General features: G+C 56.5%; 6 annotated features.

Moving 5' to 3' along the window:
- Nucleotides 81-1,072: an enhancer, noted in NCBI's record as "H3K4me1 hESC enhancer chr17:72448210-72449201 (GRCh37/hg19 assembly coordinates)". NCBI's record gives its function as "activates a minimal SCP1, AML or CMV promoter by ChIP-STARR-seq in naive H9 embryonic stem cells {active_cell/tissue: H9 hESC(naive)}" and the evidence as "EXISTENCE:reporter gene assay evidence [ECO:0000049][PMID:30033119]".
- Nucleotides 1,073-2,063: an enhancer, noted in NCBI's record as "H3K4me1 hESC enhancer chr17:72449202-72450192 (GRCh37/hg19 assembly coordinates)". NCBI's record gives its function as "activates a minimal SCP1, AML or CMV promoter by ChIP-STARR-seq in naive H9 embryonic stem cells {active_cell/tissue: H9 hESC(naive)}" and the evidence as "EXISTENCE:reporter gene assay evidence [ECO:0000049][PMID:30033119]".
- Nucleotides 1,073-2,322: a biological region, named in NCBI's record as "H3K4me1 hESC enhancer GRCh37_chr17:72449202-72450192".
- Nucleotides 1,963-2,322: a silencer, noted in NCBI's record as "silent region_8933". NCBI's record gives its function as "represses an Ori minimal core promoter by ATAC-STARR-seq in GM12878 lymphoblastoid cells {active_cell/tissue: GM12878}" and the evidence as "EXISTENCE:reporter gene assay evidence [ECO:0000049][PMID:35858748]".
- Nucleotides 2,818-3,488: an enhancer, noted in NCBI's record as "H3K27ac-H3K4me1 hESC enhancer chr17:72450947-72451617 (GRCh37/hg19 assembly coordinates)". NCBI's record gives its function as "activates a minimal SCP1, AML or CMV promoter by ChIP-STARR-seq in naive H9 embryonic stem cells {active_cell/tissue: H9 hESC(naive)}" and the evidence as "EXISTENCE:reporter gene assay evidence [ECO:0000049][PMID:30033119]".
- Nucleotides 11,119-11,228: an enhancer, noted in NCBI's record as "active region_12706". NCBI's record gives its function as "activates an Ori minimal core promoter by ATAC-STARR-seq in GM12878 lymphoblastoid cells {active_cell/tissue: GM12878}" and the evidence as "EXISTENCE:reporter gene assay evidence [ECO:0000049][PMID:35858748]".

The raw sequence follows: 11,622 nt of genomic DNA on the forward strand, positions 1-11,622 counted from the left end.
CCCGTCAAGGCCAGAGAACTCTAACACCTACACAAGATGTGGGTGGGGAGGGAGGCGACCCCAAAAGTATCCCTGTTGCTGCCTGGCATGGCTGGAAGAGGCAGCCAGGATACCCATTGGGTGAAATTCTCAGTGCACAGAACCAGGGATGGCTGGTAAATCCCCTGGGCCATGAAGACCTGCCTGCCGAGTGCCTTTCCTGGCTTTCCAGTTTACTCATGGCCCTGCACTTGTTCGTCAGCCCCCCACAGCTCATAGAAGAGAGCAAGCAACAGAGGCTAAGTGCCTGCCCTGTGGGGGTGCTGCTTGGAAGGGTCTGTTGGCCCTCCAAGCCATTCTCGCCAAGGGCAGCATTTTCACTAGCCCCCGGAGGATGCGCCAAGGTCAGGCACAGGTGCCAGGAACCAGGATTTGTTTCCTGTCTGCCGTCTCCACTCTGGGCCCTCCAGGAAGCTGCAGCCCCTGTTCACAGCAGCTGCATGAATTATTTAGCATCTGCACCAGACCGGGAGTGCTCTGACCTCATCCTCCTTGGGCTCAGGGTGCGGTTCTGACCTCATCCTCCTTGAAAAAAGGTTGTTGATAGGCAGAGGCTGGAGCGGTGCGTCCCTCTGGGGTGCGGGTGATTAAAAGGGAGACACCAGTACCCTCAGAGAAGGAGGTGGGGAGCAGCGACCCATGCCCTTGTCGCAGGAGGCAATTCTGCAGCACGCAGAAAATATGACTTTGGAATCAGAGGCTGCGGGTTCACATCCTGGCTGTTAGTAGTTCTGTGACCTTCAGCAGCTCCCTTGGTCCTTCCTCAGTCTTCTCATCTGAAAAATGGGGGTACCAGCCCCCTGAGTTTGTGTTTGGTGTTCTGTCCCCTCCAGATAACCCCCACGAAAGTCACAGTCAAGGCAGAGCGTCCAGGCACCATCTGCCCAGTGTTTCCTGCCCAGACAAGCAGGTCTTCTGGCCAGATTTCAGTTTGGCACCTCCTGGTGCCACATCTTCCCTTCCCTCTATGCTGCCTCATGCCCTGGGTCCCCAGAGTGGGTGGCTTGGCAGGTTGCCACGATTGGAAGAGGATGCTAAGGAGAGAGACCCTTGGCAGTGCCCGCGCCCTGACTGGCAGGGGAGAAGGGCTAGCAGAGGCGTTAGGAGGGTCGCCAGGTGCACAGGAAGCCTAAGAAGCTAGGCTGAAGATCTGGGACGGAGCTGCTTTCTGCCAGCAAATGTCCACTGTCTACTGGGTGGACGGGAGGGAGTGGAGATGAGAGCGATCTGGTCTCTGCCCTCCTTTGCCAGGTCAGGCCTGAGGGCTGAAGTGGGAGTGGCCATGTGAGTCCCAGCAAATGCGTTTTGGGATTAAGCACGCAGGTGCCTTCAGCAAGCTTCCCCGGGTATCCCCTTCCCAAGCGGCACCTTCGTGGCAGGCAGGGCATCTCGGACCAGGGCCTGGCTCCAGCTAGCTCTGTGGCCTTGGACAGCTCCCTTGACCCCTCGCCCCCGCAAGGGTTTCCTCATCTGTAAAATACACCCCGATGTCTCCAGCTCTGTCTAAGCCCTGGAGTTGGTGTCCCCAGCAGTGGAGAGGGGACCTAAAGCCCCAGGGCTCTGCCGCAGATGCACCCCCAGGGGTTCCGACTCAAAGTCTGGAGCAGAACTGGGCAGACACAGGGTGACCGCCTGGCTGTGCTTTGGAGAGAGAAGTTGGGTCCCGTGGGGGTGAATGGGGCCGGTCCCAGACCGGTTGTCCGCCCCATCCGCCGACCCCTCACCTCCGCAGACTCCTCCAAGCCAGGGGCCTGGAAGTGGCTCCTTCTGATTCACCTAAAGGCAACGGTGGCTTGCCTCACCCCCAACTCCACCGACGGCAGGAGAGGGTCCGCGGGGGCCCGGGCCCAGGGAAGGTTTTACGCTCCGTCCTTAACCCAGCGTCCTAACCTGACCCGGCTGGGAGAGGGGGCGGGGCCCCGGAACCCCACCCGCAGACAGCCCACTCCCCCGCACGCACCTGGGTTGGGGGAGGTGGGGGGCGGTGGGGGGCAGTGAAGGTGGGGGGAGGTGGGGGTGGGCCCGAGCAGCCGGCGCGCCCACGTGCCTCTCCCGCGAGGGCCCGGCCACCCCAGCTCCAGCCAACCCGAGGCCGCCTCTCGTGCCCCACCCCAAGCCCCGCCCCGGCCCCTGCAACCCGATCCTCGCCGCGGGGCGGCGGCCGAAGCCAGCTGTCCCAGCTCCTGCTGTAGCCTGGGGGCCGGGCCGCCGCGCTCCGCCCATCCCCGCCCTCAGAGCTGGGCCTCGCAGCCGCTAGGGATTGCGGGGGCCGCATTTATCCCTGTGTCTCTCAGGCCCCGCAGAGACGGGGGTGGGGTGGGTGACGCCAGGGAAGCAGGCCCCTTTTCCCAAGGGAAGAATCCCCTTCCGGAGGCCCGCCGGGCCATGGAGTTTCCGCGGGTGGAGGTAGTGAGGCCAAGGGCACGGGGAGCCCTGTCGCTGCCTTACGTCTGGCTCTAGGCCGGGGTTCCTCGGCTCCACCAGCGACATTTGTGGCCGGATCGCTGTGTAGTGGAGCTGGCCCGGGAACTGCAGGATATTGAGCGGCATCCCTGACCCCCTCCACTGGATGCCAGGAGCACAGCCAGCCCCCTAACCCTACAACCACAAATGTCTCTGGACACGGCCAAACGTCCCCTGGGGGCAAACTCTCCGGGTGGAAACCCACTCCCCGAGGGTTTTTCGGTGGGCATTTGAGGCAGCCACACGGGCTGGGGGCCTGGAGCTCGAGGTCCCTGCAGCCAGGAAGCTGGTGCTGGCCTCCCCTTCTCCCCGGCGCTGCCAGCTGCTTCAGGCTGGCCTGGGAACTGTGACCCTTGGCCTGACAGTATTTCGGCAGCATGTGACCTGCCAGGCTTTCTCACCGTAGGGTGCCCCCACCCTGATGTGGGTGCTGGCACAGGGGATGCTGGGGACAAGCCCATCACTAGCAGTCAGGCCAGCTGGGGCACCGGAAAGAGACTCAGGCACTGGGTGTCCATGGGCAGCCTGAGGTTCCCAAGAGAAGCTGGGCTGAGGCCGCCGTGTGAGCCCAGGGGCTGTCCGGGCTGAAGGTCAGGGGGCATCCTGGCCCACAGGGTCCACCCCTTACGCGCACACACACACACACACACACACACACACGCACACACTGGGTGGGGCGTGGGAAAGACAAAAGGAGTCGGTCCCAGCTGGGGAGGATCCCGCCCTGTCCCTTCACCAGGCCCATTTGGGAGCGGTCATCAGAGCCAGGAAGGTGGTGAGAGGGCTGGGGCAGGGCACTGTTGGCCCCAACCCCCACTGCGTGCCACCCTGCCATGCAAAGCAGAATTTTCAGAAGAATCCAATTGCAGACTTAACGGGGGAGGTTTTAGTAGCTCCCCCTCCCCCTGTGTATTCACAATTGACTGTATTTGCATAGGAAATCTGGAAAGAGACAAAAGGCACCATAGCAGATGTTAAAGTGGACCATTGGGGGAGTTGGCCGGGGGCGTGGGGGGAAAGGGGGTCGGATGTGGGGGTGGGAATCCCCTGGTACCAAGCAGATGAGGGACAAGAAGATTTTTTCTGTCTCGTTTTGCTTTTTCTTTCTCTCCTTCCTTTCTCTCTTTTCCATAAAAATAAATTACATATTTTTAAAAAAAAATTCTTCTGAAAGAAAGAAAAGGGGCCAAAGGTAGCAGTGGCCCCCCACCAGCAGCTGCAGTGGCCTGCGACGTCCCTGCCCCAGCCTTCACAAAGACCAGACTGAGCTACCCTCGGCCACACTCCCTTTCCTCATCTCTCCCCCTGAGAAAGATGGGCCAACTTTTAGCCTGCCTAGATTTTCAACTCATTCTCTCCTTGGGAGGGTTTTCAAGGAGGCTGGGGCGGGGAGTGTGTGTTCATTGCATGTATGTGGCATGGGGCACCCACCCTCCACCCAGCCTTGCTGAATGATTCTTCGAAGGCTGAATTAGATTTACATCCGTGGAGCAGATTGGTGTGCTGTTTCTCAGCGTGTAGCTCATCATTATAAAACATGCTGTGTCCCATGGGGCAGACAGCAACAGACATGGGAATAGCATTTGGCTCATTAATTCATTCATTCATCAGGTTTTCATCCATATTTATCAAAGGCTGCTCCGTGCCATCATTCTAATTAACATCAATTCCCACACTGATCTCTCTCCTAGTATCCAAGTCTGTCTGGCACACAATTCTGTCACCTCCTCCAATCTGAGGCTTCCATCTCCACAACTCACTGCAGCCCGGTGTCCTGGGTCTCTGAGGGGAATCTCTTACTGTGTGTGCCAGTTCCTCAGCTACTTGACGGTGTCTGTAGATAGTGACCTGCTCTGAGGTCTGCAAGGGCAAAGTCACCCCCATCCCTGCATCTGTGTTCATGTCCCTGTGATGGGGATGATGGTTCACTGATGGGAACTTTGGTCACCTGGGGACAGCTGTGTCCTGGCTTTGAAAGTGAGGCTGGTTGGCCATGCATCATGGCTCACACCTGTAATCCCAGCACTTGGCAAGGCCAAGGCGGGGGAATTGATTGAGGCCAGGAGTTTGCGACCAGCCTGGCCAACATGGTGAAACCCTGTCTCTACTGAAAATACAAAAATTAGCCGGGGTTGGTGGTGCTCACCTGTAATCCCAGCTACTTGGGAGGCTGAGGCAGGAGAATCGCTTGAACCCAGGAGGTGGAGTTTGCAGTGGGCAGAGATTGTGTCACTGCACTCCAACCTGGGTGACACATTGAGACTCTGTCTCAAAAAAAAAAAAAAAAAAAGGAAAGAAAGTAGGCCAGGGAGATGGCCGGCCTGGGTTGCGGTGGGGGACTCTCTCCTTTGGTCATAGTCAGAAAGGTTAAGAGGGTGCTCTCCTGGGCACCCGTGAAGTGCCAGGTGTTCTCATAACCCCCGTGCACTCCAGTTCGTAAACTTGTCTGATTCTAGAAATCATCTGAATGCATTTGTTAAAATGACAGATTCCCAGTCCCCAACTGGAGAGACGCCTTATTCAGCTGGTCCGAGGCAGGCCCCAGAATCTGCATTCTCAGCCAGTACCCAAGGTGTTTGTTACATCAGTCAAACTTGGGCCCCACTACTGTAGGGGAGGCTGAGATGGGTTAATGCTGCCTCCACCACTGCCTGGGGGAGTCGGGAGAAGGAGCTGGGTGATTGAGTGACCAGGAGGCCTTTCAAGTCATCACCTTCTCACCTTTTCAGTGGTGGAGGTGGGAGCTTGTGTAGGGACTGTGGTGCAGGGTTGGGGTAGGAGAGAGAAGAGTCAAGAGATCTAAGGCTGTGGTCCCCCAGCTTCCCCCATGACTGAGGACCCATTTGAGGACAGGCTGGACGTTTTTCTGTATTTTTCAAGGGTTCTGTTCACTCTCCTTCCCGAATTCCTCAAGGGGGAGGGTGAGCAAGTGGGCTGAGAAGGAGGCACGGGGCTGGTGTCCAGGATCCCCGGGCCACTGTCTCCGGCCGTTTCCCTGCGTCTGATAGAAGGGGCCCCTTCCTACCCAGGCCCCTGGGATTTCTGCCTCTCACCTTTTAAGGCAATCCTTTGTTTTCCCGTCTTTGTTTACATGTTTCCCATGAAACCATGAGCTCCTGAAAAGGACATATTGCGGTATTTTTATCTTCATGTCCCTATCTTTGGACCCAGTGCCTGGCTCAATGGGGGCAGCCATTAATATTTGTTGAACAAATTGGCAGTGCCTGGGCACTGAGCGCCACCTGGCGGCGTTAGCGGGCATGGTGGTGCTTAGATATCAGTTGGAGCGGCGGACCTAGGGGGACGCGTCCTGGTCCCCTGGTTTGGGGCGGCCCGTCCAAGTGTGAGGTCATGTAGGGGTGGGGTAGGGGTCCCTGAACAAGGTCTGGTGGGGAGGCGAGGGGTGGGCCTTTGAAAGCTGTGACTCTCTCAGGATAACAAGGGGCAGGTGGGAAAGGAAGCCATGGACGCTCGGGATGGAGAAAGAAGAGGTCTATTCAACCATCTATTCATTCATTCATTTATTCACTTTCAGAACCAACTTTATGGGCAGGATTCAGCAGGAGGCTGGGACTTGTCATGCTGAGTCCTCCCTGAAGGGACTCCCTCCTTGTCTGCAGAGAGCTTAGGTAGTCCGGGGTTGGAGAATATCTATCTCCCTGAAGTGGAATGGCCAGCCGACTTCTGCACTTCCTCCACCCCGTCCTATGCACGGTCTGGTGTCTGAAACCTCTTTTCTCCCACTGCAGTGCCCTCCCACCCTCCCTCTTCCTCAGGGCGTGGAATCTCTGCCAGGGCTCCACTCATGGACTCAGGCATGGATGTTTTTATTATTCTTCTTTAGAGACAGGGTCTCCATGTGTTGCCCGGCCAGTCTAGGACTCCTGGGCTCAAACCATCATCCTGCTTCTGCCTCCTGACTGGCTGGGATTGCAGGTGTGGGCCACCATGCCTGCCCCCAAAGGCCCCCGAAGAATTTTCATGTGCACCCAGGCTTGAGACTTCTGCCAGAATCTGTGTAAGCAAATGTGGTCAGCGGGACCGGGAAACTGCATCGGAGTTATGTCTCTTTCTGCTTCACCCCACAGAGCTCTCTCCAGGTCGCTGCTGTTTTTGCTACACCCTGAGTCCCCACCCCAACATATACACTCTGACCTCCTGCGATGGTTGATATTGAGTGTCAACTGGATTGGATGGAAGGATGCAAAGTATTGTTCCTGGGTGTGTCTATGAGGGTGTTGCCAAAGGAGATTAACATTTGGGTCAGTGGACTGGGAAAGGCAGACCCAGCCTCAATCTGGGAGGGCACCATAAAAGCAGGTATGTAAAGAGCAGACTGGCTGAGTCTTCCAGCCTCCATCTTTCTGCTGTGCTGGATGTTTCCTGCCCTCAAACATTGAACTCCAAGTTCTTCAGCTTTTGGTTCTTGGACCTGCACCAGTAGTTTGCCAGGGGCTGTTGGGCCTTTGGCCACAGACTGAAGGCTGCACTGTCAGCTTCCCTGCTTTTGAGGTTTTGGAACTTGGACTGGCTTCCTGGCGCCTGTGCTTGCAGATGGCCTGTTGTGGGACCTCACCTTGTGATCGCGTGAGTCAATACTCCTTAATAAACTCTCCTTTATATCTACATCTATGTTAGTTCTGTCCCTCTAGATAACCCTGACTAATACACCCCCAAAACTACCCATGATAAAAGTTGACTCTCCTATTCTCTAGAAGCTAGAGATCTGAGCAGTATTTATTTATTTTTTATTGTTTGAGATGGAGTCTTGCTCTGTCACCCAGGCTAGAGTGCAGTGGCACGATCTAGGCTCACTGCAACCTCTGCCTCCTGGGTTCAAGCAATTCTCCTGCCTCAGTCTCCCAAGTAGCTGGGATTACAGGTGCCTGCCAACATGCCCGGATAATTTTTTGGTATTTTAAATAAAGACAGGGTTTCACCATGTTGTCCAGGCTGGTTTCAAACTCCTGACCTCAAGTGATCCACCCGCCTCAGCCTCCCAAAGTACTAGGATTACAGGTGTGAGCCACCGCGCCCGGCCACTCAGCAGTATTTAAGGTTGCAACCTTGGGTTCCTGCACCCATGGCCAAAACACATGTTCACAAAGGGGTCACTGCCAGCTGGTAGCCCTGGGGCAGTGTCCCTTGAACCCAGAGCCTTAAGGTAAAGCATGTAACCTTACTCAGGGCAGGGGAGGGAGGCTTGAAACCCAGGTTCCTGTCTTTGTCCTCTCAGTCCTAGAGGCAAGGCAGGCGTTCCCCAACTCCCCACCTGCACCCTAGCCCCTCCCCTCTCCTGGAACAGTCCAGCGGAGGCAGGCAGTGGAGTCACGGTGCTGCAGCCTGCTTACGCTAATGCCGCAGCTGGACAGTCCCAGGTCAGCCTCAGGGCTACAGGCCTTCTTGGGCATTGAGAGCCCCCTGGGTCTCCTCGACTGCCAACCAGGAGCCCAAGAGACCACAGAGGCCAAGCCGTGGCACCCTTGGTCCCTCCTGGGTGGCCTGGTCTGAAGGCTGGGCTCTGTGCCATTTCCTCCTCTGTGACATCTTTTTAAACATTTTTATAATTTTTTTAGAGACAGGGTTTCTCTCTGTCTCCCAGGCTGGAGTGCAGGGGCACAATCATAGCTGTCTGCAGCCTCCACCTCCCGGGCTCAAGCGATCTCTTGCCTCCGTCTCCCAGAGTGTTGGCATTACAGGCTTGAGCCACTGCGCCCAGCCCTCCCCTGTGACTTCTGCCTCTCTCTCTCCTTTCATCCACTCTTCCTCTCCCTTGGAGGGCTTCACCCTCTGGAGCCTTCAGATAATCTTCCAAAGGGGCTGGAGGCTTCCCCTGTTCCTGGTCTACTGGCTGGGGGATCTGGAAGGATCCGCATACAGATGCCTCTCCACTTCTAGACATGCAGAGATAGGAACAGATTTGCCTGTCCAAGAAAGCAGGCAGTTCTAGCAGCCAACATCAGATGGCAACAGGGGCTGCTTGTGATTAGCCAGTTTAGACTTTGCCTGGGTTCCAAGGAGAGCAGCTTCTTTAGGGGGCTGCCGACTGCACCCCTTGCTGGCTGCTGGGTCCCACTGCCTGATTTGCATCCCCTGGCTCCAGCCACTTTGGGAGTTAGGAACAGGACTGTGGGACCCCCCTCAAGCACCTCCCCACAACCCGCCTGCTCCAGGGCTAAGTTTCACCATCTGGCTCACCCCAGCTCCATTCTGTCCAGCTTCTGCTCACTCCCCTCCCTGCCACCCTAAGTTTTTAGGGCCACAATGTGTCCACTTGGGGCCAACCAGTTATGGGACAGACAACCAGGGATGGGTAGGGGGTGGGGACAGAGCCAAGGTGGAGTGAGGTTTCTTTTTTTTTTTTTTTTTTTTTGAAACGGAGTCTCACTCTGTCGCCCCAGGCTGGAGTGCAGTGGTGCGATCTCGGCTCACTGCAACCTCTGCCTTCTAGGTTCAAGTGATTCTCCTGCCTTAGCCTCCTGAGTAGCTGGGACTACAGGCGTGCACCACCACGCCAGGCTAATTTTTTGTATTTTTAGTAGAGACGGGTTTTCCCTATGTTGGCCAGGCTGCTCTCGAACTCCTGACCTCAGGTGATCTGCCCACCTCGGCCTCCCAAAGTGCTGAGATTACAGGCGTGGGCCTCCGGCCTGGCCCTGGAGCCAGGGTTCTGAAGCCAGGTGAGCCATCAGGAGTTGGAGCAGAGAGAAGATGCTGGGGTTTGGGGTGCCCTGGAGCCAGATAGGAATCTATTGGGCACACCTGGGTCCAGGCTAGGCCGGTACTGGCCAGTAGACCTTGCCTTCAGCTGTGTTGACATGCAGCACCTACACACAGCACTCAATTCCTCAACCCCAGAGAGGTAGGAAGCCCCATTCCTTCTGTTGGGAGTTTCTACTTTGGTACTTGGTTAGTTGACAAGCTTCCCTGTTTCCTCTCACTTTGCAAGAAGGAGGGAGTTAGCTCTTTGAAAAACTAACAACTAATTAGTGCCAGGAAGGGTCTAAGGGGGTCTGGCAGCGGAGGTGACAGAAAAAAAAAAAACAAGGGGAAAGGCTAGCAGAGGTCCCCCCCTAGGGAGTTACTGCACAGTGGGCTGGAGTTTGGGGTTCAATATGGTGGACAAATGTGGGTTCTTACAGGCAAGTGACCTCATCTCTCTGAGCTGTGAGGCATATAGATTCACGTGTGTACATGGTGGGAGTTCAACAAACACCTTCAAACAGCCCTGAAGGTTGCACAGGTGCATTCACATCTCTGATCTCATTTTAGGCCTCCCAGCAGCCTGAGGAGTACAGGGCAGGCTGGAGCGCTGTGTTCCCATTTCACGGCCAGGAAACTGGCTCCAAGCAAGGACGCACCTGCAGCTCAGGGCTCTGACCTTCCCCGCCGTGCGGCACCATTGTCATGGTCGTGGGGCTTCCCTGAGGCAGGCACCCTTTACCCGCCTCCCACCCCATCCTGATCCATGATGCTATCCCTGATAATTACCTGGGATTCATCGGAGACACCAAAGGGCAGTGCCAGACAGAGGCCGCCCTCTTCCCACCACCACCTCTATACATCCCTGGAGATGGGCGTGGGGTGAGGTTGAGAAGTGGCTTGATGCTGTACTGATTTTTTTATTTTTCCTTTCTTTTCTTTCTTTTTTTTTTTTTTGAGATGGAGTCTCGCTGTTGTTGCCCAGGCTGCAGTGCTGTCGTGTGATCTCGGCTCACCGCAACCTCCACCTCCCGGTTCAAGCGATTCTCCTGCCTCAGCCTCCCGAGTAGCTGGGATTACAGGCAGCTGCCACCGTGCCCAGCTAATTTTTGTATTTTTAGTAGAGACGGGGGTTTCACCATGTTGGCCAGGCTGGTCTCGAACTCCTGACCTCAGGTGATCTACCCGCCTCAGCCTCCCAAAGTGCTGGGATTACAGGCGTGAGCCACCACGCCCAGCCTGATTCTTTTTCCAGGTATGCAGACCACTGGCCTCTCGTTGAATCTGTTTTTTGTTGAGTTGTAACTTTGTTGAAATGCACAAATCTTAAGCGCTTCTGGTGCCTTGCTGAGCTCCACAGGCCCCCGGCTATTGAGCCAGGTCCCGTGCCAGGCTCCTCTCTCCAAAGCAGAGAAGTTATTTCCAGGCCAGGCCCCTGTGATTGGGTTTGGGGCCTGCATGGAGCAGTGGCACCGTGGACAGGAAACCCTGGGGGACGCTGAGGCTCCCAGGCCTCTGACTGTGACCACCACACATCTGCCTACAGCTTCCTCTTTCTCTTCCTCTTGACCACGGTACACCCAGGACCAAGCAGGAGAGCAGGTAACCAGTCATCGTGACCAGCTGGTGTGGACTGTGTATGGCCCGGGGACCGTGGGACATGCTGGGGCATGGGGTGCTGAAGCTGCCTCAGCCTCTGGGGGGTGCAGGAGGAGTGGGGAAGCTTCCCCAGAGATGGGCAGGAGGCCAGGGCATGGTCAGTCCCCAGGCAGCGTCAGGCTCTTGCAGCTGGTCTCACCCAGGCTCCTGGGGAAAGGAAGCGAGATCTTCCTAGTCCCAAACCTCTGTCCTTTCCTAATGCCCCTCCCCCTGCAAATCTCATTCAGACCCTGAGTACACAACTCAAAGTACACACAGCAAGAGTACCAAGAGGCAGTAAGTTCCCCCCAGAGGTCAGCCTACCCCCACTCTCCATCCTGTGCTCAGCAGCTGACAAGCTGTTCATCCCAATGAGGGGGCCACAGTCACGCCGCCCTGATCCCGCCTCTCAGCTCTGCGTGCCCAGCCTCTGGGCTGCCCTTGAGTGGCACCCATGGGGCCAAGGCCCTCCTTGCTTCAAGCTCAGGGGGAGGAAGGAACAGAGTGGATGGGGAACAGCCCAGGCTGCCCTGGCGGGAGGGTGGCTCTAGAGATTGGGCTGCTTTCAAAAGGGAAGTTCTGCTGAGAAACTACAGCCCATCCACTCCCCACATCTTTTCTGAGGACTGGGTGGTTCACAGGACTCAATGCTGCTGCTGCAGGTCTTCCCAGAAAGCACCCCTCATTGGCCTCTGAGCACGTGTGTCCACACCAGGAAGAGACTCCAGAGCTGATCAGAAGTTTTGTGGCTGCTGTGGGACCACTTCTCACCCTCACCCC

Source organism: Homo sapiens, chromosome 17, assembly GCF_000001405.40.
Source record: "Homo sapiens chromosome 17, GRCh38.p14 Primary Assembly".
In the NCBI taxonomy this organism is placed as follows: domain Eukaryota; kingdom Metazoa; phylum Chordata; class Mammalia; order Primates; family Hominidae; genus Homo; species Homo sapiens.